Source organism: Homo sapiens, chromosome 12, assembly GCF_000001405.40.
Source record: "Homo sapiens chromosome 12, GRCh38.p14 Primary Assembly".
Classification (NCBI taxonomy): Eukaryota; Metazoa; Chordata; class Mammalia; order Primates; family Hominidae; genus Homo; species Homo sapiens.
The window spans coordinates 10,749,744-10,777,451 of NC_000012.12; the positions used below are offsets into that span (position 1 = coordinate 10,749,744).

General features: G+C 35.9%; 1 long non-coding RNA gene and 1 pseudogene across 1 annotated transcript, besides 1 other annotated feature; both read left to right on the forward strand.

Moving 5' to 3' along the window:
• On the forward strand, nucleotides 491–27,708 carry LINC02366 (long intergenic non-protein coding RNA 2366). Its single transcript, NR_120463.1, has 7 exons — nucleotides 491–557; nucleotides 19,650–19,703; nucleotides 24,209–24,241; nucleotides 25,063–25,123; nucleotides 26,122–26,241; nucleotides 26,769–27,058; nucleotides 27,575–27,708. It is a non-coding gene; the product is annotated as a long intergenic non-protein coding RNA 2366 (long non-coding RNA).
• Nucleotides 502–551: a silencer, noted in NCBI's record as "silent region_4241". NCBI's record gives its function as "represses an Ori minimal core promoter by ATAC-STARR-seq in GM12878 lymphoblastoid cells {active_cell/tissue: GM12878}" and the evidence as "EXISTENCE:reporter gene assay evidence [ECO:0000049][PMID:35858748]".
• On the forward strand, nucleotides 20,512–20,989 carry HSPE1P12 (heat shock protein family E (Hsp10) member 1 pseudogene 12; annotated as a pseudogene).

The following is a 27,708-nucleotide window of genomic DNA, read 5'->3' on the forward strand; positions in this document are numbered from 1 at the left end:
TTATCCTGTGCTAAAGATGAATAGAATCTTTTAAGGCTTCTTTTCAGTTATGAAAAAAATGGCAAAATTTCTCCTTTCTATATCAGTGAGGAAGATGGTTAGGAAGAAAGGCCACTTTGTGTTAGTCAAACAGGCTTTCTTCAGAGCTGTCAGCGGGCTGTGATGAAAGAACCATGACACTGACCCTAGACTAAGGTTTGAATTCCGCCGAGGTCACTCACTACCTCAGTTACCTTGGATAATTTACTTGATTTCTCCCTTTCTAGTTCTTTTTCTGTAAAATGAGGAAGAGAATGGTAAAGTCTCCTTTGCATTACTGTGAGGATTGCCAAAGGTCTGGATCACAGTTGGTTCTCCCGTGGGAATCATTGCCATCACCGTCATTGCCTTGTGTACGGCCTTCACGCGTTTCGCCAGCTTCTGTGTCATTGGTGACATCATAAAATCAGGGAAAGGGAAATCTGTAAACACTGGCCGTTGAAGAATACGGTTTCTGAGAATTTCCACTCTGAATTCACATTCCGTTCAGTGTTATCGCCACCCTGTGGATTTCTTGGGTAATGAAACTCAGACCGGGAAATGAAAACGGGGATTTTCAGTAAATCGGTTCCAGTAAATCTCTGCTGCTCTTGTGGGCGCCCTCTTTTGAGCACCGGAGGAATGAGCACCGTTCTTCATTCTTTTGGTTTTGTAAAGTTGTAGAGCTGCGTTCATAAGTGAGATCATTAATTAATCTGCCCTTCTCCGTAGACCTTCCTCCTCCCCAATTTTCAATATAAAAACTGATTCCCAGGTAGCTTTAATTTCAAAACTGGTCAGTGGTAAATTTAGGAAGAGAATTTAAGGTCTCCTGACTTCCAATCAAACATAGTTCCCACTTGCCCAATTGGATAATAGATGTTTGTTTTTACAATTAGCTAATTATTTCTCAGTATTTACTTATTTTATAAGTAGTACATAATTAATCAATTGACCAACTGGCCTTATGGCACTGTGTTTACATGTGATCCTGCCCCTTTCTAGTCTATTTTCTGGAGGTTGTCAATCATCTTCCTTTAGAAGTATTTTCTGCCATTCTTTTTTGTGGAAGTATTGCGTGATTGTCCAAAGGCCTGTCCCTATTTGCGGAGACTCCTTGAGAATGTCCACCTTTGTGTATTTCTCCTACTTCCTGAAATATCCCTTCATTTCTCAGAAACTGTGCAAATCTTACTTCCTCTAAGCCCAATTTAAGTCCTGCTTGCTTCTGAGCCTTTCAGGCCATAGTAACTCTTGCTGTTCTTTCTGAGGCTCATATCATTGACATATATGAATTATTTTAATGTCTTAATTGGATTACTAAGAGCACTCCAATTCCCAACACATACATGATTAATACTTATTTCTGGATCCATCGTGGGCATCCCTGTTTTCTCTTCCCCTTTCTATCATATTTCTATCTTCCCAAACAAGCAGAAAAAAAAATCTATGGCCTATTTTAGGTAGTGGCAGATTATTGTGTTTTGTTTCTACAGGTGTTTACTTGTGGCAACCTGTTTCCTCACTGTGCATGTGTGTGCATCCTAAGTACGTGTGTGTTTAATTCCCCTATAACCTTCTGCTGGGAGGATTTTATCTATAAGTATTCCTTGGGATCTGTGTGGAAGTTGCTTTCCTCTACAGGAAAGGTTTTCCTTTGCATCTTACATGCAAACTGAAGGTATCACTTTAAAATAAATTTTCAGGTTGAAGTTTTGGGGACTAAATGTTGCAAACATGTTTGAAGGCTGGCTTATGGTTATGAATTCTTAATGGCAATGATTTTCCCTCTCTCCCCTCATTTCCGAGGTTGAAACCTTTAATACATTTGTTGTTCCCTTTTTGTTGGCTTGTTTGTTTGCTTGTAGCTCTCCATCACAACCAGGGTGTAGTTTTATTGTATCCGAGGTGCATGTGTGCTGGAGGAGTTTCTATGAATTAGTCTCCAATTTGACGAATGTTTGTTCATTAGTCCAACTTGAATGTGGACTTTGTGGCTGTCCTTTGTCCTCATGTGCTATATCAATGAAGGCTCAGATTATCCTTGATTTACATATACCCTTAGGACAGGACCAAATTTCAGGCTTTACTTCCCTCCTGGATTTTTGCTTTCTATTTATTTTTGTTAAATCTATGAACATTTCCTTTTATTTTTACCAGATCAGCCACGCATTTAACCGTATTTTTTCATGTTACAGCTAGAATCTTAAATTCTTTGAGTTGAGATCGTTGTCCTTGAAGTACACAGTGATCACTCATTGAAACTTTTAGATTAATTTTAGGATCAGTTTGTAAATTTCATGGAACAATTCTGTTACGATTTTAGATTAGAATTTCACTAAATTTGGAGGATTCCAGGGGAATTAATATCTTTACAATACTCTTGCTTCTCATTCTTGAAAATAACTTATCATTTCACTTATTTATGTCCTTATGCCCTTCAGTAATGTTTATGTTTTTTCCTTTGAATATCTTTTGCTGCTGTTTTGTAAACAGGTTTTTTTTTAACTTCCATTTTTTATTTGTCACTGTTGTATAACTAGCTAATACTTACATAGTACTTACTACGTGGCAGAAATCATTTTAAATCCTTTAGTAATCTTTTACCTGGTGAACTTGTTTATTGATTTAAATGGTCTGTCATTTGGTTTCTCTTGAATTTTCAATGAAGGCAACTATATTATCAATAGTCATTGACTCTTTTGTCAATTTCTTTTCAGTACCTGTGCTCTTTATATAATTATTCATTCTTTTTTTCTTATTATTTGTCTATTTGGTGCCTCTCTTTAATGATATTGTCCTGCACTGTGTGGGTTGTCACTCTTGATTGCAGTTTTATATTTGCATTTGAGAATTTCTCTTCCCCTGCTTACAATGATCGAATGAAGACAGTTGGAATCTAAAGGATAGAAATCTGACAGGATTGAACTGACGAAGAAAATCTGGGTCCAAAGATAGAAATCAGATAAGATGGCTATGGGTGAGATTTGTTCTGTAGAAATATATACAAACACACACATGCACATATATGTAAAAGTATTGTCAAACCATTTGCAGTGGTGGCTCAACCTGATGGTTCAGAGGTTCCAGACAATACAAAACGTGTTGGGAAAATAGTGTTGAAAGATAGATACTTCCATCTCTCATGGAGCTTATATCAGAAGAGGAATCAAATGTTAGAAAAAAAAGATTATACTAAAACAAAGTCATAATCATTGTACTAAGGCCATTAAAGCAATAAATCATTTAGCAATGCACTGCTCAAAAGCATCAAGTTTAATTCCTCTTCCCCTGCCTACGGTGTTCTAGTGGAGGCAGCTGGAATCTACGAATGCAAGACCTTCCAGTGCAGGAACAAAGATTTTTCCATTCCTTTTGGGTGTTGCCAACCACCTGGAACACTGTGCTACTTCTGTGACCCAGTTATTCATACTAATGTCTCCAGTCTGGAAGCAAATGCTACACTGTTCACTGCATGAGTCTCTCTCTCTCTCTCTCTGTGTGTGTGTGTGTGTGTGTAAATGTTTGTGTTTGCGTGGGGGTGTGGAAATGGGGCCAACCTGCCTAACTGTTTTACATTCCATCTCTAAGCAGTCATCCGAAGGATGATTACTCTTGGCTCCAGACTCCTCTTTATTTTCATTAATTGCAAGTTAGCAGAATCTGCAGAATTCATCTCACCCATATCAGCCATCTTATCTGATTTCTATTTTTGGGCCCAGATTTTCTTCCTCAATTTGATCCTGTCAGATTTCTATCTTTTAGATACATATGAATATATTTGGTTTTCTAGTGACATTTCCTTCTTTTGTTCCAGCATGGTTAAGACTTTGTTCTTTATTTTAAAATTCTTTCTCAAAGATTAGTTGTGAGGTGAAGTTTGTTGCATTTGTCCATCCTGCTTCATTGATGTAATTTTTATTAAACCTACTTATTAATTGTTTTCCTTATTCTTAGCTATCTTTTACTGGCTGAACTGCTAGTACAACAACCAATAATAGAAGAAATAATAAAAGAATATTTGTATTCATCAACCTCCGATCAATACATAGATCAGAGAAACAGTGACTTGAAAAAAAATGAATAATGATCATAGGCTATTGTATATTAACTGAAATCACTTTGCATTTCTCCAAAACGTTCATAAATCATATCACGAAATTCTCCCCACAAGCCTGGGACAATTGGTGTAATTGCAAGTAGAGAACAACAGATCCAAAGAGTAGATGAGATTCACACTATTAGAATGTAACAGAATGTCTCAATGCTCAGGGTAGCATGGCTGTTAAAAGCACAAGATGTGCAGCCAGACAGTCTGGGTTCAAATTTCATTCCAATTACCAACTAACTTGTGTTAGCACTGCAAATTATTTAATTTCCTCCTCTCCTAGTTTCTCATCTACAAAGTGTTATTAATTCTTAAAATATTATAGTAAAGATTAACTTGAAAGAGCTTAGAACCATTTCAATTACATAATATGGTGGCCGGGCATTAAGGCTCATACCTATAATCCAGCACTTTGGGAGGCCTAGGTGGGCAGATCACTTGAGGTCAGGAGTTTGAGACCAGCCTGGCTAACATGGTGAAACTCCGTCTCTACTAAAAATACAAAAACTAGCCAGGTGTGGTGGTTGGTTTGAACTCCTGGAATCAAGTGATCCACCCACCTAGGCCTCTCAAACTGCTAGATTACAGGCGTGAGCACCATGCCTGGCCACATAGCATATGATTTGTATTAGTCCTTTTTCTCACTACTGATAAAGACATACCCAAAACTGGGTCATTTATACAGGAAAAAGGGTTTCATGCGCTTACAGTTCCACATGGCTCACAATCATGGTAGAAGGCATGGAGTACTGTGTCACACCTTACATGGATGGTGGCAGGCAAAAAGAGTTTGTGCGGGGAATCTGCCCTTTTTAAAACCCTCAGATCTCATGAGACTTATTCACTATCATTAGAACAGCAGGTGAAAGACCTGCCCCATGATTCAATTACCTTCCACCAGGTCTCTCCCACAACCTGTGGAAATTCAAGATAAGATTTGGGTAGGGACACAGTCAAAACATATCATTATGCCCCTAGCCCCTCTCAAATCTCATGTTCTAACAATTCATAACCAATCATGTTTTCCCAAAAGTCCCCTGAAGTCATAACTAATTTCAGCATTGACTCAAAAGTCCACAGTTCAAAGTCACATCTGAGACAAGGCAAGTCGCTTTCGCTTATGAGCCTGTAAAATCAAAAGCTAGTTAGTTACTTTCTAGATACAATGGAGGTACAGGCAGTGGGTAAATATAGCCATTCCAAATGGGAGAAATTGGCCAAAGGGGCTACAGGTCCCATGCAAGTCTGAAATCCAGAGGGGCAGTCAAATCTTATAGCTCCAAAATGATCTCCTTTGACTCCATGTCTCACATCCAGGTCATGCTGATGCAAAAAGTGGGCTCCCATGGCCTTGGGCAGCTCCGCCCCTGTGGCTTTGCAGGGTATAGTCCCATTCCTGGCTGCTTTCATGGGCTGGTGTTGAGTGTCTGTGACTTTTCCAGGCACATGGAGCAAGCTGTCGGTAGATCTACCATTCTGGGGTCTGGAGGATGGTGGCCCTATTCTCACAGCTCCACTAGGTGGTGTCCCAGTAGGGACTCTGTGTGGGGGCTCCAATCTCACATTTCCCTTCCACACTGCCCTAGCAGAAGTTCTCCATGAGGGCCCAGACCCTGCAGCTAACTTCTGCCTGGACATCCAGGAGTTTCCATACATCCTCTGAAATCTAGGTGGAGGTTCCCAAACCTTAATTATAGATTTCTGTGGACCTGCAGGCTCAATACCACATGGAAGCTGCCAAGGCTTGGGACTTCCACCCTCTGAAGCAATAGCCCGAGCTGTACCATGGCCCCTTTTAGTCATGGCTGGAGTAGCTGGGATGCAGGGCACCAAGTCCCTAGACTGCACACAGCAGAGGGACCCTGGGCCCGGCCCACGAAACCAGTTTTTCTTCCTGAACCTCCTGGCCTGTGATCAGAAGGGCTGCTGCAAAGGTTTCTGACATGCCCTGGAGACATTTTCCCTGTTGTCTTGGCAATTAACATTTGGCTCTTCATTACTTTGCAAATTTATGTAGCTGGCTCGAATTTCTCCTCAGCAAATGGGTTTTTCTTTTTTATCACATTGTCAGGCAGCACATTTTCCAAACTCCTATGCTCTGTTTCCTTTTTAAACTGAATGCCATTAACAGCACCCAAGTCACCTCTTGAATGCTTTGCTGCTTAGAAACTTCTTCTGCCACATACCCTAAATCATCCCTCTCAAGTTCAAAGTTACACAAATCTCTAGGGCAGGAGCAAAATGCTGCCATTCTCTTTGCTAAAACGTAATGAGAGTTCAGTTTTTTTTTTTTGCTCCAGTTCCTGAGAAGTTTCCCATCTCCATCTGAGACCATCTCAGCCTGGATTTAATTGTCCATATCATTATCAGCATTTTGGTCAAAGCCCTTCAACAACTCTCTAGGGAGTATCAAACTTTCCTGCATCGTCCTGTCTTTTTCTGAGCCCTCCAAACTGTTCCAACAGCTGGCTGCTACCCACTTCCAAAGCCACTTCCACATATTTGGGTATCTTTTCAGCAGCACCCCACTCCTGGTACCAATTTACTGTATTAGTTAGTTTTCATGCCCCTGATAAAGACATACCCAAGACTGGGTAATTTATATAGGAAAAGGGTCTAGTAGACTTACAGTTCCACGTGCCTGGGGAGATCTCACAATCGTGCAGAAGGCAAGGAGGAGCAAGTCACATCTTACGTGGATGGTGGCAGGCAAAAAGAGCTTGTTTAGGGAAACTCCCCTTTTTAAACCATCAGATCTCATGAGACTTATTGTCATGAGAACAGCATGGGAAAGACCTGCCCCCATGATTCAATTACCTTCTACCCGGTCCCTCCCTCAACATGTGGGAATTCAAGATGAGATTTAGGTGGAGACACAGCCAAACCATATCATGATTGAAACAGTTCTAAGCTCTTTCAATGTAATATTTACTATATTTTGAGAGCAGTACTATGATTAACAACATTTTGTAGATGAGAAACTTAGAGATGGGGAAATTAAGTAATTTGCAGTGGTAACACAAGTTAGTTGGTAATTGGAATAAAATTTGAACCCAGACTGATTACTAGACTAGTAGTCTAGTAATCCCAGCTACTTGAGAGGCTGAGGCAGGAGAATCGCTTCAATCTGGGAGGTGGAGGTTGTAGTGCCAAGATTGCGCCACTGCATTGCATCCTGGATGATAGAGCAAGACTGTCTCAAAAAATAAAATTACTTAAAAAAAATCATATAACATGCACTCAATAATTGTAGTAGTTATTATTGCTACAATTTTGCCCAGCATCTTTTACTGTATTATAATATTGTATGTAAGACATTTTACATAAATGTAAATTTTCAGTCCTTTTGAATTTACGTATAAGCCCAGAAAAAAAGAAAAGAACTCTAAAAGTGCAAATATACACAAACACGTACATGTACACATATATAAAAGTATTGTCAATCCATTTGCAGTGGTAGCTCAACCTGGTGCCTCAGAGGTTCTAGACAACAAAATGTATCAGGAAAACAGTGTTGAAAAAGACAGATACTCCTGCCTCTCATGGAACTTACATCAGAAGAGGAGTCAAATGTTAAAAAAATGATTATACTAAAACAAAGTCATTATAATTGTATTAAAGACATTAAAGCAATAAATCATTTGGCAATGTACTGCTCAAAAGAATCAAGTTCAATCATGATGACTGCAATTTTATCTCCTTTAAGCTATACCTGGAAAATATGGTACTTACTTTTTAAATTGTTAAAAAAAATGTGGTAGCAGAATATTTACAACTCTTATTAGAAGAATTGAAAACTTAGAACTTTTTTATTTCCATTTTTACTCTACAAATGAGAAAAACAAAGAATCTAACAGGCAGGATAATTCAGGACTTTGGAGACATGTATTCCATTGCGAAAATGACAGATGTTCTATTGTTATTGTTGTTAGAAGATTCTGGAAGTGGGGAGATGGCTAAAACAGTAAACATGCATTAGTAGGTTCATGGATTGTAATTAGTATGTTAGGAAGGCAAAAATAAAAACTTTCTATGTATTTATCAGCGATTGCTATACACAAGAATTCTTCCATTACTTGTGTCATTAATCCATATTTAACTCAAAAGTTGAGCTAATAAAAACAGCTTCTGGGGTTTCTAACATTTAACATTATACAAGATTATCCAATATATTCTGATTGCCTACCATGTCCTAAGCACCATTTTAGGTATTTGTGGTGGATTAGTGAGCAAAATAGATAAGCAAAATATCTCTAACCTGAATGCAGCTCAAATAAGTCAATAGAAAATACCCACTGTGTTCCACGAACCCTGTCTTTGTGGAGAGAAATGGGGGAGGAGTAGAACCCTGCTTCTGAGGATAGAACTGGGGGCAAACTAAAGGTAGCTCAGCTCCAGTCAAAGAAAGGGACAGCTGTCATGACATAGTCATGACATGCTCCTCATTCTTGTTCCAATGATGTTTGCTCACCTGAGATATCGTCACTGTTTACCCCTTAACAAGCAACTACACTTGTAGGCTCACTTGCCACTAGGTGTACAGTTCAAGTGAAGTCACGAACTATCCCCTGCATCTCAGGTCATCTCTATTTCTAGGCAGAATATTCAGGGCATGAGGAGAAGCCAGATTACAATGGATTGAGAAGTGAACGATTGCCAAAGAAGTATTCTTAGATGACAGTGTGAGATTTCAGTGGCATTACAACAATCATTCAGGATCCTGCTGCTCAGATTTTTGCCACACAATTCCTGTTGTAGGAGCTTATATGAAAACAATAGTGGAAAAAAGAAAAGCACACTTCTGTTGAGTTGCATCTAACATAAACTTAAGAACCAAAGTTAGGACACCAGGGGAAAAATTGTGGATTGAGAGAATTACCCTTGATGATCCCATAATTGCCCAAGTTCAAGTACTTGGTATCTGTTTTATTTTTACAACTACATATCAGCTCCTGTAACCTTTCGTTAGTCAATGTCTTCTATGCCGTTAGTTAATTCTCCAGTTGCTCTCTCAAGAATATTAACAAATCCATCACTGCTTATTACATATCTGTTCATATGAACCATTCATTTCTTTTCTTCTTTTTTTTCTTTCTGACTCTATCTCAAAAAATCCTTAGAATCAATTGTTTATTATTTCCTTAGGTTTTCACTTGTATACTGACTTTTTTCAGCCTGATTGTACTTAGAAAAGGTGATCATCAGCGTAGTATATGCTACATTTCAGAAATTTTGATGTGTAAATGGAAAACTTCCATTGTAACATTTGAAATATCTGGGTAAGCACTGGGTAAAGCAGGACTATTTGGTACAGAGCAGATTACAAGTACCTAAATGAGCCCTTTGACTCTGTTTCTTCCTTGAGAAGGCTGAGCACAAGAAGGGACCCTTGAGTATTTATTGACCTAGCCAAATAATGAAGAGAGAAGAGAATAATCTGTTTGCCTTAAAGGAGAAAGCCCAGCTAGAATATATTCCAGTAGGTAAATGACCAATAGTGTGAGCTGCACAAGGATTCTGAAACAGCAAACCTATCCCTAAAATATAATCTAGTTAATATCCTAATATCCTTGGTTCTGAACATTCAGATTAGAAAATCCTTATCTCCTGGGAGGGAACAGAAAGGGAGGTGGGCAGAGACAAGAAACATGGAATGAAGGACAAAAGTGTATGGAGGATAAGCATGCCTCTCTTTTTGTAAGTACCTCATTGCAAATACATTATCCTATAGTTACAAAACGAACCCAAATTTTACAATAAAAACACTGTCAGAGGAAAAATTATCTCCTATTAATTTTTCAAATAAAATATCTCGTGTTATCAATTAAAATTTTTAAAAACTAAATTCCACATTAGTCTGCTCTCCAATGTCATCTTCTGCTCATTTTATTCAGGCCATTCAGATACCTCATTAGATTCCACTTTCCTTTCATTGTAGCTGAGACTGAGTCATTTTCACTTAAGCAATTATAGGTGCTTGAATCTCCAAAGTTGAAAAATATTCCGTTGCTTTCCACCAATAGTCTCACACATATTCATTTTCCAAGTGATAAGAAGGATGATTACACATAAAAATATTACAAAAATATCTCCACAGTTAAGTTTTGAAAATTTGCCTTGAGCAATACCATTTAATGAGCAAAAGCAATGTTCCTTTGATACTGTTATCAGTTACAGAAGTAGAAAAAATGAAAAAAAGAAAATATTGTTTTCTACTTAAGCTATCAGTCAATTTCTAACAGATGTCCATAGTCCATGAACTGTAAACTTAAACTCCACAGGAAGAAATATCACCTTTAAGAAGTTAATAGTGAGTTTATGCCTTATCTACACTCTCAGAGAATAAAATGTGAAACTCTCTGTTTTCTTTAAAATTGTATAAACATTGTATACAGTTTACTTAAGGAATTCTTCCCCTTAGTTTATGAGAAATCTGAATTTCTATTTCCTTTTGAAGCTCATATTCCTAGTATCATAATACTAAATGGAACATGAGTTCTACAGTATTTTTTTTATAAGCAGGGCACTCTTATTTGTAAAAATATAGGTCCAGGTAGACTCAGCCATCATCCAAAAGCTTCCAGTATCCCTTCTGTATGTCTTTATTTCCAGCAGAATCCCAAAACTTTTAGCTCTTCATTATAGTGTCTGTCTTTAATTGATTTCATTTTTGCATATGGTGTAATATTTTATATATGATGTGGTCCAAATGCATTCTTGTGCATGTGGATATTCAATTTTCCAACATCATTTATTGAAGAGATTGTTCTTTCCCCATTGTGTGTTCTTGGCACCTCTGTTGAAGATCAATTGATTATAAATGCATGGGTTTACTAGACTTTCTATTCTGTTCCAGTGGTTTATATGTCGCTTTTATGCCAGTACCATGCCATTTTAATTACCATAGTTTTGTAATACCTTATGAAATTAGATGGTGTGATGCCTCCAGCTTTGTTATTTTTCCTCAAGTGTATTTTGGACTTTTTTTTCATAGAAATTTTATGATTTCCTATTTCTGTAAAAAAATGCCATTGCATTAAATCTGTAGATCACCCTGGATATTATGGACATTTTAACAATATTAGTTCTTCCAATCCATGAAGACAAGCTATTTTTCCATTTATTTGTGTCTTGCTCAATTTCTTCTGTCAATGCTTTATAGCTTTTAGTGCACTGACTATTCACTTCCTTGGTTAAGACTTCCCTTTCAATATATATTTTGACCCATTTGCTGTGCAAGAGTGTGTTGTTTAATTTCCACATTATGTGAGTTTTCCAATGTTTTGACTGTTATTAATTTCTAGTTTCATGCTTTTGTGGTCAGATAAGATACTTGATATGATTTCAGTCTTCTTAAATTGGTTAAGACTTGTTTTCTGACCTAACATGTGATCTACCATGTAATATGCTTCATGTGTGCTTGAAAAGAATACATATTCTACTGCCGTTAGATGGAATGTTCTAGATATGTCTATTAGGTTCATTTGGTCTGTAGTGTATTTAGATATGCTGGTTTCCCTATCCCTATTAATTTTTTGCCTGTAAGATCATTCCATTGTTGAAAGTAAGTTATTAAAGTCTCCTTCTATTATTGTATTGTTGTCTGTTTCTCTCTTCAGTTCTGCTAACATTTGCTCCACAGAGTTAGGTGCCCTGATCTTGGGTGCATGTCTATTTACAATCATTAAATCCTCTTGATGAAAGGACTCTTTAATCATTATATAATGACCTTCTTTTTCTCTACTCATGGGTTTTCACTTAAAACCTATTTTGTCTACATAAGTATAGCCATGTCTGCTCTCTTTTAGTTATCATTTGCATGAAATATCTTTTTCCATTCCTTCACTTTCAATCATATGTGTTCTTAAGGGTAAAGTGAGTATCTCGTAGGCAGTACGTAGTTGAATTTTGTGTTTTTTAATTCATTCAGCCACTCTAAGTTTTTTGATTGTAGAATTCAATCCATTTACACTCAAAGTAATTATTGATAGGTAAAGAATTACTGCTGCCATTTTCTTAATTGTTTTCTGACTTGTGTGGTTCTTTTGTTCCATTCTTCATCTCTTGATGTCTTCCTTTGTGATTTGATGGTATTTTTGTAGTGATATACTTTAAAACCTTTCTCTTTGTCTTTTACATACTGATTATAGGTTTTTTTCTTTGTGGTTACTATGATGCTTACATAAAACATGTTATAGTATAATAATCTATTTTAAGCTGATAACAACTTAACTTTGACCACATTAAAAAACTCTACACTTTGACTTCTCCTCCCCCTCCCAGATTTTATGTTATTGATGCCACAATTTACATTTTTAATGTATCTATTAACAAATCTATTATTGTTAATCTATATATCTATTATATAATATATACCTATTATATCCATATAATAAATATAGAAATAATATAACCATTGTTATATCTATTAACAAATTATTGTACTTATAGTTATTTTTAATACTTTTGTATTTTATTATACTAGAGTTGAAGGCTATTTATGCACTACCATTATATTAGAGTATATGAATTTTACTATATTCTTCCCTTAAGTGAGTTTTATTTTATTTTTATTTAAGGTTAATAGACTCTGTTTCTTAGAGCAGTTTTAGATTTAAAGAAAAATTGAACATAAAATATAGAGTTCCTATGTATTCATCTCCTATCCCACAGTTACCTTTATATTAACATTTTGTGTTGGTGTGGCACATTTGTTACAATTGATGAATCAATATGGACACACTACTGTTAACTAAAGTTCCTATTTTATATTAGGATTCACTATGCATTATACAATTCCATGGATTTTGCCAAATGCATAATGACTGCTTTAACTTTTATCCATCAAAAGGACTAAGTGATATACAATTTTAGTATAATGAACAGAAAAGAAATGAATATAATTAAAAATCAATTTGTGCAATAAAATGATTTAAATTATGTGGATTGGTGCTGCATAATTTAATAAATTTTTATTTGCACTGTAACATACTTATAAAAGTAGACTTATACAGTGAGTTATATAGTTTTATATATTTCTATGTTTATAGTTGGAATTATTTCCTTTCAACTTTAAAATTTTTCTCTGGCGTTTCTTGTAAGGCAGGTGTAGTGATGATGAACTACCAGAGCTTTTGTTTGGGAAAATGTTTCTCTCTCCTTTATATCTGAAGGGCAGTCTTAGGGGGTTAGTATCCTTGGTTGCCACTTTTTAAAATTTTAGCTCTTTGAATATATTATTCCACTCTCTTCTGGATGCAGGGTTTCTGCTGAGAAATTTGTTGAAAATGTTTTTGGGTTTTCCCTATATGTGATGCATTACTTTTCTCTTTCAAAATTTTCTTTTTGTCTTTGACTTTTGATAATTTAATTATAATGTGTCTTGTGAAGATTTCTTTATATTTAGACTATTTGGTTACTTTTGGCTTTATGAATCTAGACATTAATTTCTCTCTCCAGATTTGGGAAGATTTTTGCCATTATTTCTTTAAGTAAACTTTCTGCTTCTTCTCTTTCTTCTCTCATTCTGTTACTACTATAATGCATACATTGGCTCTCTTGATGATGTACTATAAATTCTGTAGATTTTCTTCACTCCTTTTCATTTTTTGTGTTTCTATAACTGGATAATTTCTAATGACATGTCTTTATGCTCACAGATTCTTTCTTCTGCTTGATGAAGTCTGTAGTTGAAGTCTCTATGATATTTTTAAGTTCAATCTTTGTGTCCTTTAGCTCCAAAATTTCTATTTGATTTTACTTTTAATAGTTTCCATTTTTTGGAACTTTTCATTTTATTCATGTATTATTTTCCTAATATTTGCTTAGTTGTATATTTGTGTTCTCTTCTTCTCACGGAGCCTCTTTAAGATGATGGTGTTAATGACAATGATAACTGTTATTTTTTGAGACAGGATCTTGCTCTGTCATCCAAGCTGAGTAAAGTGGCATGATCATAGCTTACTGTGGCCTCAAACTCCTGGGCTCAAGTGATCATCTCACCTCAGCCTCCTGAGCAGCTAGGATTACAGGTGTGTGCCACCATGGCCAGCTAATTAAAAAAAAAGTTTTAGAGAAGGGGTCTTGCTATGTTGCCCAGGCTGGTCTCAAACTCCTGGCTTCAAGTGATTCTTCAACCTCGGCCTTCCAAAGTGCTGATATAGGCATGAGCCACTGTACCTGGCCAAGATGATTGTTTTGAATTCTTTTACAGGTAGCTCATAGATCTCTATTTCCTTAGAGTTTGTGCTTTGGATGGAGTAGGTACCTTTTCCATTCTTTATAGACTGGCTTCAGCAGGGAAAACCCTTCACCAGTCAGTTCATCTAGAGATTCTGTGTGGGCCATGTAACAGAATCTCTGGAGAGACTGGTTTGGTGTCTGGATTAATATTTGAGCAGGTCTGGCACCTGGAAAAACAGAAGCTGGCCAGGCACCATGGTCTACTGCAGTGGACCTTTAGTCTGGGTCTGCAGAAGCAGGCCTGGAGGTGGGATCCACAAAGACCAGCCTGAAGCCTGGATCCATAGCAACCAGCTAGAAGCTGCAGTGGACCTGGGACCTGGGTCCATGATATAATAGTAGGCTTGGGTCTTTGGTCCTGGATCCACAAAGTCTGTCCTGGATCCTGGATCTGTAGCAGTGGTCCTGGAGCTTGGGTCCATGAGGTCAGCCTGGTATTGGGATGTACTGTAGCAGTTCTGGACCCTGGGTTTGTTCAAGTAAATCTGTAGTGTGGGGTTCCAGGGGCTGGCCTGGACACTGGTGTCATGGGAACCAGTCTGGAGCTGGGCAGACCTGGAGTCTGAGTCTATGTGGGCCAGCCTGGATCCTGGGCCATGGGATCTAACCTGGTACCAGATTTCACTGAAAAAATATAGCAAAATTCTTTATGCCTATGAGTCCTGTCCACTAGAAGAGTTTAATTAATTGGCTCACTTCTTCATTTTAATGGAGGCATAACCTATATACACTATAGTGCATATCTTAATTCCATAGCTTGATAAAATTTTACATATAAATAAACTTGTGTAACTGCTTATGAGAGCTAGATAAAGAACAACTCTGTTAGCTTATTCTTAAATTGAACTCTTGATGTTTTTGGAGCAAAGTCTGTGCCCCCAGATCCAGGTGAGGAACAATATATCCCTTTCTGTAAGCTCTCTTCTTTCCCAAAAAGTGCTTTTTTCTGGCTGCTAAATTTTTCAGGCCATGAGTATATTGCCTACTTCAAGGGAAGCAGATATAGCTCTGTAGTCCTAATCCTATTCTGAAGCAGTGGACTTGGCCTCTGGTGTTCTAAGATTTTTTGCAGATGTGGCTTTACTTTTTTTTTCTAAAGCATATCTAACTTGTTTTCATTTTGTATCCATAATGACTAACAAAGTTGAATATCTTTTCTTGTGTTTATTGGCTATTTCAATTTACTGCTTTGTGAAGTGTCTGTTCAAATTATTTGCCTATTATTGAATGGTTATCTCACATTTCTTATCGATTTGTAAGAGTTCTTTCTAATTTCTGGTACAGCCCTTTTTAAAGACTTATGTTGCAAATATCTTCTTTATGATCTGCTCTGTTGGTGTCCTGTCAATTGCTGTTTTTATGATTTCCTAGAACACTTTTGGAGGCCACCTCTCAATAAGTTTTGCAAATAGCTCCTACTAGAACAATTATTCCACTGTGTAGGATCTTGTTGTTCATTCTCCATTAAACCAATCCTGACCTATTGAAAATGAAGTGAGGCCATTAAATATAAATTGTGCTTTATCCAAAATACAATATGTAAACATTGCATATAACTTTTTGAAATTAAACCTTTCTATGGCATCACGAAGAATTAACAATAGATAAAGAATTCTGAGCAGTGTTCCATAATGAAGTTTGTTTATTCCAGAGTAAAAGAGAGTGAAGAATCCATGTCCTTATATGTTGTAAGGATATTATAAATATATCTGAGTTAGCAGGTAGACATATAACCATTTTAAGGCAGGAGAACAGACCGCTAGATGCTATTGCATTGTTCCTGTATACCTTTGATTCTACGTGTTTTCATAAAGGGAAACTATAATTCATGAGAAATAAGACTTTAGACCTATATATTATTTGTTTAATAAAATAGGAAGACATATCAGGAAGCTCAGCATACCTCATTTAAATGGGCACTGGCATCAATAAAGAAACTATTTTCTCTCAAAATTCTAATCCTTTTAAACGATACATTTTGTTAACCAACAAAAATAATCACAGTCCCTTGACTTTCTATTTTCTTATTTGAGTGATATGGTGGTTGACCCTAAGAAAACTCTCAGAAGCTCTGTGTGGTATAAGTATTAAGGGGAAAAAGGCAAAACGAACTTAAATGTTTAACCCTTGTATATAAAGACTGATGCCTAACATAGATCAACGTAATCTAAAGAAAGTTTGAATAATATATTTTTTAGAAAATTCCTCTCCCGATCAGGAATATCAGACAGCCATTAGTGTTTGTTAGTGTTTCTCTTGCTGTTCCACTTAGTGTTACTGACTTTTGTGCTTTAACCTTTCCTGGAATATCTAGCTTTACTGCCAATCTCAACAACCAGTGGAAATCTGACTGAGGAGCTTTTTCTAAATCCCGTGATGGAAACCTTCTATAATGAGGAGGCACATTCTGCGTCATTGAGAATAAAGCTATCAATCATAAGTAATCTATGGCAATAAAATAATAAAGATAACAATGTTTTTCCTTTATCTCCCTGTTTTTGTGTTTTAGGATCCCTGTAGGACTCAATTTAATGTTGAGGGATAGGTAACATTTCACTGATTATTTCTGTATACCTACCAATTCCCAAAGGGCTGTGATGAAGGCTTACTATTTAAAAATGGAAGGTACAGAACAAAGTTAATAAGTTTTATTCAAGGAAATATTTCAAAGTCATTGATATAACATCTGTTTCAAATTGTCATGAATATATGTGGCACATGAAAAGAAAGCAACCTCAAGAATTAAAACTCAAGTTTTACTTTTAATTTTTCTCCCATAACAAATAACAAGTACTTGAGAAAGTCATTAAAACACTCTGGGCTTCACTTCACTCTCCTCATTTTCAAATTAAAGATTTAGGAAAAAAAGATTCCCTGATATTTTTTGCTTCATTATTTTAAGATAAAGTTTAGTTTTATAAAGTTAGATTAATAAAAATTTAGGTTTTAAAGGAGAAAATAAAAGAGCAATATCTATTGGGAGATAACCAGTTTTAATAATATCGTAGATACATTTTTCACCTACATGAATATTGTTTTCACCTACAAACAATATTGTTCTGTAAAGATGACACAAATGGTAGATGTCAGTTTAGAAGCCCATGTTTGATTACCCATGAATAGAACATACTGCTCTTTCTCAAATTTGCATCATTAGATGGAGCCCTTGAGGGAATAACATTTCAGGAGATGAAATTTTGAGGATTCACATTTGAAATGGAAGATTCCAATCCTCATACAAATCCAAAGGGAATTAAAGCTCTTCTCTTGAAGTTCAATGCACTTTAACTTGGCTTTGGATAAACAGAGTGCCAAGCTGAGCTAATGATTTTCCCCAACTTCTACGACTGTTCTTCTTATTCCATTCATACTGCTTTGAAGTAGATAGCTTTTAAAATTTTCTAAACTGAAATTCTAATAGTCTTCCTATCCAAATTGTGTGAGTCAGGGCAAAGAAAAAAGTTGAAAATACAAAGTAGATGTTTGGATAAGGCTATATTTGCAGAAACTCACATAAGGGCTTAAGAGAAGACAGTAGTGGAATAATAATGTGAAATTAGTCTATGTTTATAATAACTGTTGTCCTGTTCCCTGATAAGACTGCTTTTGTGTTACTTTTAAAAAATACTACAGTCATGATCTGGTCACTTCTTCCTTCCTACAGCCACTATTATTTATTTCTGCAGTGTGCTCCTGTGCCCCACTACCATCGCCCCACATCTCATTCTGAATACTATACAGCTATCAACTTTCTCTTTGACACTGACTATCCTATTTGTTTTCTAATTTCTGCCCTTATCTTGTATAAAAGAAGATAATTGGTCACAATCTTGCCTCCTGTCTGTAATAGCTCTGATTCTTTTCTGTTAATGTCTTCCTCTGCATGCCAAAGACATGGCTGCCACTGCCTTGGATCCTGTCTCTGGTTTTAACCTACTACTTGGCTGTCTTACCAACTCATCCTCACCCTCCATATACCAATACATGCTGTCAGTATGTGGGAGGCAATCTTTTCTTTCATCCTGCTGTAAATATCCCAAAGAAGAAATGCATGCATTCTAAGGAACATTCATATCATTCATCATTATCACTAATATTTATTGAATATTTATGAATGTGCCAAGATAAGTACTTTATACATGTAATGTTATTTAATTATCACAAAATGCTATGAGTTAATTACTGTTTCTCTTTCATAGATAAAGAGAATGAATGCAGCTTAGAGAGGTTAATTAGTATGCTCTAATTACACAGCTAGTAAGTGATGAAGATTGATTTTGACACTGCATCTGACTTCACAACATAAACACTTAACCCTTGGGTTCTGTTACTCAAGAAAAGTTTTCTTCTTTGGGTGTATTCTCTCAATCAAGCCTTTCTCCTGCTTATAAAATGGTCTTTCTTATTTTTGTAATTTTTCATAGATAATTGGTAAAGTATCAATTTCTACCATTAGAAACCTTTTTTTCGGATATGCAGTGTTTGAGACAAGCATAACTCTTTAGAAAGCAATTAATTAAGTTCTTTCAGTTTTAATAATGCTCCAGGTCAAATGGAGGAGCCAAGTCCTGAGTTCATGGAAATCACTGGATTTGATGTTTTGTGTTTATGTGAGAACCAACATTTTTTTTTTTTTACTTCCTAATTTCCTTCTATGGAGGCAAGTTTGTCTTAATTTTCCTTTCGAGGTGTTGTGAAAAAATGCCATTGTTCACCACATTGTTCTCTGGATCCTCTATACAACTTCCAACATCTCACTTCCAACGTTTTTGCTAAGGGAATGCATAACGTGTCATCCATCTTTATTTTTAAATTGAATTTCTATGAACTAAATTAAATCTTACATTAGATATTATACATTAACGTGGGTCTCTCTATTATAGATGCTTTCTCTGATGCTCCTTTGTGACTCCTTTTTTTCTACTGACAAATCAGAAAGTTCTCCTAGATCCTTTCCCAAAAGAGTTTTTGGGTCATCAGGCAATTACATTTGTGTTATCTTAACCTTTTGTTGTTTATCATTCTTGTCACAGTTAAGGAAGACAGCAGAATCCATATATCATTTGACAATTGTTAGTAACACAGAACACCATGAAATAGGTGGTAAATCATAGGAAGGAAATGTTCCGGTTAAAGCCACCTCAAACTCCAGGGGCCATTCCTGGGTAGCAGCAATGCTGTTATTGTTCTCTACAAGCTATATAAGTGAGGATCCCCAAATTTCTACAGCAGAGAGGGAAGTATGAGTCTGATTTAAAGATATTTTCTTTCTTTCTTTTAGCTACCTCGCTGGCTTTGAGCACAACCCAGGAAGAAGTTTGAAACCAAGAAAATGGTAAGTCTGATATGATGACAGTTATAAAGTTTTGAGACATGTTAGCAACTAAATTGTCTTTTTTGCTTCAGTCATGTTTTTCCTTTCCTTTTTCCTAGACCATAGAGAACAAGATGTAACAGAATTATATTACAATTTCAACCCTAATTCCAACATAACAACTGACTAGACAATCTACTCAGCACATGACTTGTTAAATCATGATTCCACTTCATATTTGTCTTTTTAGTCTATTGATTTCTCTTATCAGTTACATACGATGTCAGTTCTTCTAATCAGTAGTACAGATTAACAACGACTACACCCTAACATTTCTAAGATTTCTCTTATCCTTTCTCAAGAGTCTTGCCTTATTATTTTAATCATGTGGTATTGAAATTTCAGGGAGATATTTAGCTTATTTTGAATAGCATTTCTAATAGTTAATTGAAATAATCAAAGGACAATTTCTTGTTGATACACTTGTCACTTTGGTCAATTAAAATACAATTTTAGAATGCTAATTAAATTGATTAAAGAAGTTTTTTTTCTATAGAATTGTAAAGATAAGCCTTCTTCAACTTACTAATCTTAAATTAAGAATGTATTTACTGAATACCTATTATGTAGAGGGTGCAAAAGAAACATGTGATGTGACTTACTGCGTTTAGGTAACAGACCATCTGAGTAAGGGTCGAATATACTTAGTAAGGTAGTACATAAAAGAAGTACTAAATTCGACGTCTTTACTGATAGATTATGTAATACAAACAAGTGATACACATTCCATAGACCCGCAGGATTAAGATAATGACCAAGGGAGTCAGTCTCTCTTTGCAGTACTGTATGAGAGCAGAGTAAAAGTCGGCGATAGAGGGCTCATGGCAGGACAAGTGTTTAGAAAGTTACTTCCACTCTTTGACTAAGTATTGGTTGAAAGGTGTGCCGCCAAAACTGTAACCAAAGGAGCCATTATGCTTCTGGAAAAATCTCAAGGAAAAGTATTGGCAGCCACAGTAGTAGCTGTTGGATCAGGCTCTAAAGGAAAGGGTGGAGAGATTCAACCAGTTCGTGTGAACGTTAGAGATAATGTTCTTCTTCCAGAATATGGAGGCACCAAAGTAGATGACAAGGATTAGTTCTCATTTAGAGATGGTGACATTCTTGGGAAGTATGTAGACTGAAATAAATCCTGTTGAAATAGCATCGACACGAAGCTTCCCATTCCACTGAAGTTCTGAAATCTTTCATCATGTAAATAATTTATATATCTCTCTTTTACACTAAGCTAATGATAAATAATGACACAAATAATAATGACTAAGTTATTTGAATCAAATAAAAAGAGATTAAAAGGAGCCAGATGAAATGAACAAGAATGGAGTATACTTGATTGAATTATTTTTTCATAGTTATGTTTGCACTATTATATGTCACGCTATTGCAATGAACATTAAAAGAGTAGTGCTTGGAATAAGATTAATAGTAACTATTGTACATTTATCATTTGAACCTCTCCATGCTTATGGATTTTGTTATTTTAAAAAGTACCATTTTTCACATACAAATAATATAAAACATAATTTAAAATTGAAATATTTACAAGTCAACCTCAGGTGTCATTACAAAGTTTTCAGCTAAATTTTAAAATCATGTTTTTAGTTTTAAGAACCTATTTTTTTCATTCTTGTTAGTTTATCTAATATTCCTTTTTGTAACTTACATTCTATATTTGGTCTTATATGTTTTCAATGTTATATATTACTTAAAAATAAACTTAAAGTAGGAAGCCACATTATGAACAAAATAAAAGGACCATGAAAATGGTTGCAATTGATATCTAGAAATAGGATGATGTATAAAGTGGGTTGCATCAAAGCTATACTTACATTTACCACAGGGTGACACCCTAGCATCATTAATGAAAATAAAACTCGAATACATACAGAAGCATAATCACAATATGATGAAAACTAGCTCAAATTATTACAAGTTCTTTCTTTCAAGGAAATCATCATGAGGAACCAGGGTTTAAGCATTATGCTTAGTATTTTATAAGTTTAATTTTCCCTGACTCTAGTTACCTCTAGATTTTAGATAATTCTAAAAAATTATCTTAAATAATTCTAAATAATTATCCAGAATGATTCTATGTAATTAGAGAAAACTAGATAATTCTAACATCTAATTGTACTTCTTCTCTTGGCATCTGCCCTTTCCTCCTAGTCATATCTTCTTTTATTTAAAGAGAAAAATGAATCCTACCTAATCCTCAAGCCAGTTATGTATCAGCTCACTCAGTTCTTGAAAAATAATCCTTGATTTGTAGAATCCACTTTCTAATTACTCTCCAATCAACAGGAGTTTTGTCTCCAATGCCATCTTTCTATTAAAACTAGCTTTCAAAGTTTCAATGAGCTCAATGAGTATCAAAATGAGCTTGCATTTGACACTAACTGCTGTTCATCCTCCTCCTTCGGAAACTCTCTTCTAGTAAGGTTTGATGGCATTAGCCTCTTCTAAATTTGTTGTTATCTGTTAGGTTGTTGCTATTCTATTTTATTAGTTCTTCTTCCTTAGCCTCTTCCTTATATGGTTGCATCCTCCAGAATTTTGCCACCAAAAGATCTGTCAGCCAGTCAGTTTTCTGTAGAGTAGCCCAGAGACTATTTTCTCAATCCTTTCCTTCGAGTTTAAGAAACACAATGCAGCCAGTATTGATTTCATAAGGTGGTGGGTTTTGGGGCATGCACATCTTTTTCTTGAGTTTCCATCCAAGATTTAAGGTTTTAGTTCCTGATGCTGAGAACACTCAAGGCAGATGGCAGGCGGCTTCCCCTCTGAATCCTTTTCAGGCTCATCCTTCTATCTTTTCAACTTATCCACTGCCACCACTTGTCTCTTCTTGCATTGATTCTGACGAGTGGTTCTACTGCTGGGCTCTACTGTTGGGTAGGGAGAAAAAAGCGGTCTTGGATCCTGCATGTGAAGGTGGAGAGGAAAATAACTCCAAGTGTTGTATTGTGTTAGGTCAGATTCTTCAGAAGCCAATCCTTAAATGGGACTGCTTTTAAGAATATTTATTGAGAGCTCTCTCCGAGAGGGGATTTAGGAAGCAGGGTAGATAAGGAATAAAGCTAAGCAAAATGTGGTCTCACGCGCAGACTAGCTTAGTCTAACCCCACAGAGAAAAGTCTGGAACACCTATTGCTCCATAGAGTTAGTCTCACTTGAGGCAGGGAGGCCAGACTTTTATACCTTCATGTCAGAGAGCCACTGCTAAGGGTAGTTACCTGGAGAATGGGGTAGCTGTGAGTTGCTAGTAGCCAATACTCAACAGCAAGTCGATGGCCACTGGCCAGTAAAGGGGATGAGGGCAGGGCTCCCATAATTTCCCTACCTGTTGTCTTCAGATGGAGGATCTGAAAGCAAATCATACTTTTTCACTGCAAAGGTTAATCCTTGCTAATATCCTAGAGGTAGACACGTTCTGTCTTTGTCCTAGTGTTTAGTCACTTTTAAAAACTCCATTTACATATGGACAACAAAAAGTAGAAACTTTACAGTGGAGAAAGCTGGCACATACCATCTTAAATAAGTAATCAAGTTAACAGCATCAGTAAGTACCAAGACACAGTGATATCAGGCACCCCCTGATGTGATCCAAGGAGAAGGGCTCTTCACCTCTGTGGTACTCTTTCCAAAATCCATAACTGCAGTTTAGTTATAAAAAAATCAGACAAACACGAATTGAAGGACACTCTATAAAACAGCTGACCAGTACTCTTCTTAGATATACAGGTCATAAAAGACAAGGAAAGACTGTGACACTCTCACAGATTAGAGGAAACTAAGAAGTTATAAATAATGCAAGGTGGGATCTTGCATGGAATCCTGAAACAGTAAATGAACACTAGTGGAAAAAAGGAAATTTAAATTAAATTTATAGTGTAGTTGAGAGTATTCTACCACTGCTAACTTCTTCATTTTGATAGTTGTACCATGGTTATGTAAGAGGCAAACATAAAAGGAAGGTAAGTGAAAGGTATACAGGCACTCTCTATTATTTTGGCAACCACTCCGAAATCTAAAATCATCCAAAACTTAAAATATTTTTTTCCTTTACAAATCCTTATTCTGTTTACTTATAAATGAGGGACTGGGTTTGTGATGAAGAAGAATCCATTCTGCCATATTACAAGTGCATATAGTTGACAAAATAATATTCCTATTGAACAGTGAAAAATCAATAACATAATATTCCTATTGAACAGTGAAAAATCAATAACATAAAGGAATATGTATGTCAAGCATAATTTTATGCTACATATTCACTGAGATGATACATGACAAATGGATGTAGTATGGCAAATAGAAAAGAGCTACTTTGTTTTCCAGTCACTTACTATAGTAATTGCCTTAGAATGAGAACAACATATTATCAAGTCAGTTTAGAATTTGCTGCAAGAAGATGTTTGGGCAAGAAGAAAGCACTTATTTTATACTTTATTCTCCATTTCCCCTAGGTGGTTGGGAAGACCAGGATGCGCAATGGCAAGGTGAGATCCTGGTTATCTCTTTTTCTTCTAGCATTTGTTTCCCTAAGTGGAATACGAGATTTACTGCATTTTTTTGGTGAATGATATGAAATAGAGGACAGATGTTCATGACTGGAGGGCTTATTGAGAATTATGTTAAGCTGTAAGTAATAGAATTCTTGACTAACTGTAGCTTAAACAAATAGCAGTTTCATTTTTGTATATAATGGGAAGTCTGGAGGTAGACAGGCTCCTGTATTTCGGCTCCTCTGTCTTCCTTTGGGGGTGCTCCACCCATTGCAAGATACCCAGCAGCCCTGCCTCACTTACTGAATAGTTAGGGAGCTCCAGTGCTGTGACAGTCAGATCAGCCAGCAAAGAGTTCCGAAATGCTCCCACTTGAGATCCACTGGGCACATTATTCCCCTGAACAAAATCAGGGTTCTATTAGCAAAGAAGAGGAGAAAGAGAACTTGGGCTAGCACTCCCTGCCAGAGAAGATAATGAAGTAGAAAACAAAGGGCAGCATTACATTTATTTACTTTTACTCTCAGATCAGGGACTGACCTGCATTGGAAATTAGTTACTGAGTACATTGTGCAATGTGCAAAAGTAATGTAACATAATGTAATTCTGCCACCTGAAACTGCGACCATGTTACACGTAGCAAAGAGGGAGTGAGGGAAAGGAAGGTAAAAGACATCACTATCATCTGATAAACAAGCAAGAGTTGGAGAATAATTACCCACAGGGTAATTGAGAGGATTGAACAAAGTCATAGTGAAAGAAAATGTCACAGAAAAATGAGCTATGCAGGACATTTTATCAAAACTTTTTTCCAGAATTAATCAGACTGATGAAAGAAAACATTGTAATATGTATAGCTCCTCCACGAAAAGTGTGGTAAGCTGCTCCAATTCTGTTACTCTCCTATTAAAGGAAACTAAGGGTTATAGAGAAAAGAAAAATTCATCTTTAAGCTGAAATTAATACTTGATTGATTCTATAATTCTACTATTTTTCCTTTTTTTTTCTTTTTTAGGAAGTCAATTCAGACAACCATGTTAGTTTTATTTATTGTTTAATTTACAGATTATGTGTGTGTGTGTATTGTTTTATCTTTTCTTTGAGAGACAGAATCTTACTTTGTCAACCAAGCTGGAGTGTAGTGGTGCAATGACAGCTCACTGCAGCCTTCATCTCCTGGACTTGAGTGATCCTCCCACTTCAGCCTCCCAAGTAACTGGGACTATAGGCTCACACCACCACAACTGGCTAATTTTGTATTTTTTGTAGAGACAGGGTTTTGCTATGTTGCCTAGGCTGGTCTTGAGCTCCTGGGGTCAAGTGATCCTCCTGCCTCCAGCCTCTGACACTATATTTTTACTCTTTTCTCTTATGTACAGTGTTCCCAAGTCTATGGTATAATGAACATCAGGAGTTAATATATTCATATGTTAAATTTTCTTAACTTTCTATAGTGTCATAATGGCATAGAATCATTATGGAAGTTTATAATACTCCCTGTCATTTACTAATTACTGATGATATTTATTTGCATTTTAATAAGAAGCCTGTAACCTAACTGACCTCATGTAAAGGAAGAAAGCTATTCCGGTTAGTCCTAGTGAAATTTGATCAGTGCTTCTTGAATTACAGTAAATGTGAACAGATAACATATACAGTGTGCAAAAACTTCTGAAAATAACTCATTTATGTAGATTACATAACTAGAGTTAAAGAATTAGGGACCCTTAGCATTGCAAGGTACTTTTAGGAATCTCCTTGGATTTAATTATTCTCTTTAGCAGTAATCTTTGTCTAATATACTGTAAATTTTACTAGTTTATTATCTATGTTGTCCACTCTTTTCTTTTTTCTATTTACTGCTGTATCTGGAGTGCTGACAACTCTGGAATACACAGTAGGCACCCAATACATACAAGGGAGTAAATGAATGAATTAAAGCTGTCTGTATCTGCTGATCATCCACAATTTAGACGTCCTATACTACATTCCAAGTAAGCCTACATTTGAACACATCTGGTAATTTTAAAAATGTGTACACCTATGAAAATATTTTAATATATAGCACTGCAATAAAACTCTATTAAAATAGAAAAACATGAGTTGAACATCTTTCCATATTGTATAAGTAATTTCTTGGCCCCAATTTATTTCAAATGCACATATTCCAAATAAACATACATATACTAAATCTATATATATTCTGAATATATCCTTCCCAAATATGTATATAAATATTTCAAATATATATTTTCTAAATATATATATTCCATACATATGTAATATATATCAAATTATTACACTAAACAGGTTGGATTTAGTCTAAGAGCCAGTTTATAATTATACCTTAGAAATATACCCAGTAGTGCTTTATAGTGCTTTTAAAACATGATTTAAGGAGCAAAATCAGCTAACAGAAGAGCATAATTAAGGAGATTATAGACATATCTTTTAAAGAAATTAAATTCCTGGTACAAATAAGAGAAGGTAAAAAGCTCACAATTCCTTTTTTCTTTCATAGTTGAGGGCAAGCGGGGTACGTGTCCTGAATTTATAGAATCTTTTGACACAAAGCAAGAGAGCCACAGTCAAGACTCAAGTCAAAAGAAATTTAGACCCCATCTGGGCAAACAGGCCTCTAAGCAACAATCTAAGATTTCCACCTATTGTTCTGGCATTCCTTGTATAAATGATTATGACTGCAGAGATCTTAGGAAGTGCTGTGGTACCTTTAGATGTGGCCTGAGGTGCATACATCCTCTTATGATTGGCCCTGTATTTTTCAATTCACCTCCACAATCCAAGGCATAAGTAAGTATCGGGCAACATGATCCCCTCATCAGTTCTCTGACTCTCTTAAAATACTTTCTGTATCTTTTGTCTTAGTAGTCTTCCAACCCAACCTCATATTTTATATTCTATTATAACTATAGTATAGAATTTATAGTTAGAATGGTCTAGAATATAGTCCACTTTCTCTATGGCATATAAAAAGGCATGCCATCTCAGAAGAAATTCTGCATATATGCCACCTGATTTCAATTATTTATTCATTCAATTAACATTTATTGGATGCCCACAATATGTCACACAGTGAGAATGCAGGGATGGAAGTGACAGATTGGAACCCCTATGGTTATGCAGTTGATAATATTAGCATATGGTCTTTATCGTTCACTAAGCAACCAGATCTCTTCCTTTCTTTTATTCCCTTCTGCACCCCTTCCATCTCTAAGGAAAAGAAAGCATAAATCTCACATCACTTAAAAGTTAGGCATCAGTTTTTAAGCCTTGGTTGAATTACTTTCTTCTCTGTTTTCCTCCCAGATATTGGATGGAGAAATGGATTCAGATGGAGGCATCATTGAGCTTATTCTTGACTCATCTCAGTCCAAACATTACTCTGTCAATCGTTGTTCTTAAAATCTGCATATTAAAAGCTCAGCATCAACTATTTTTGA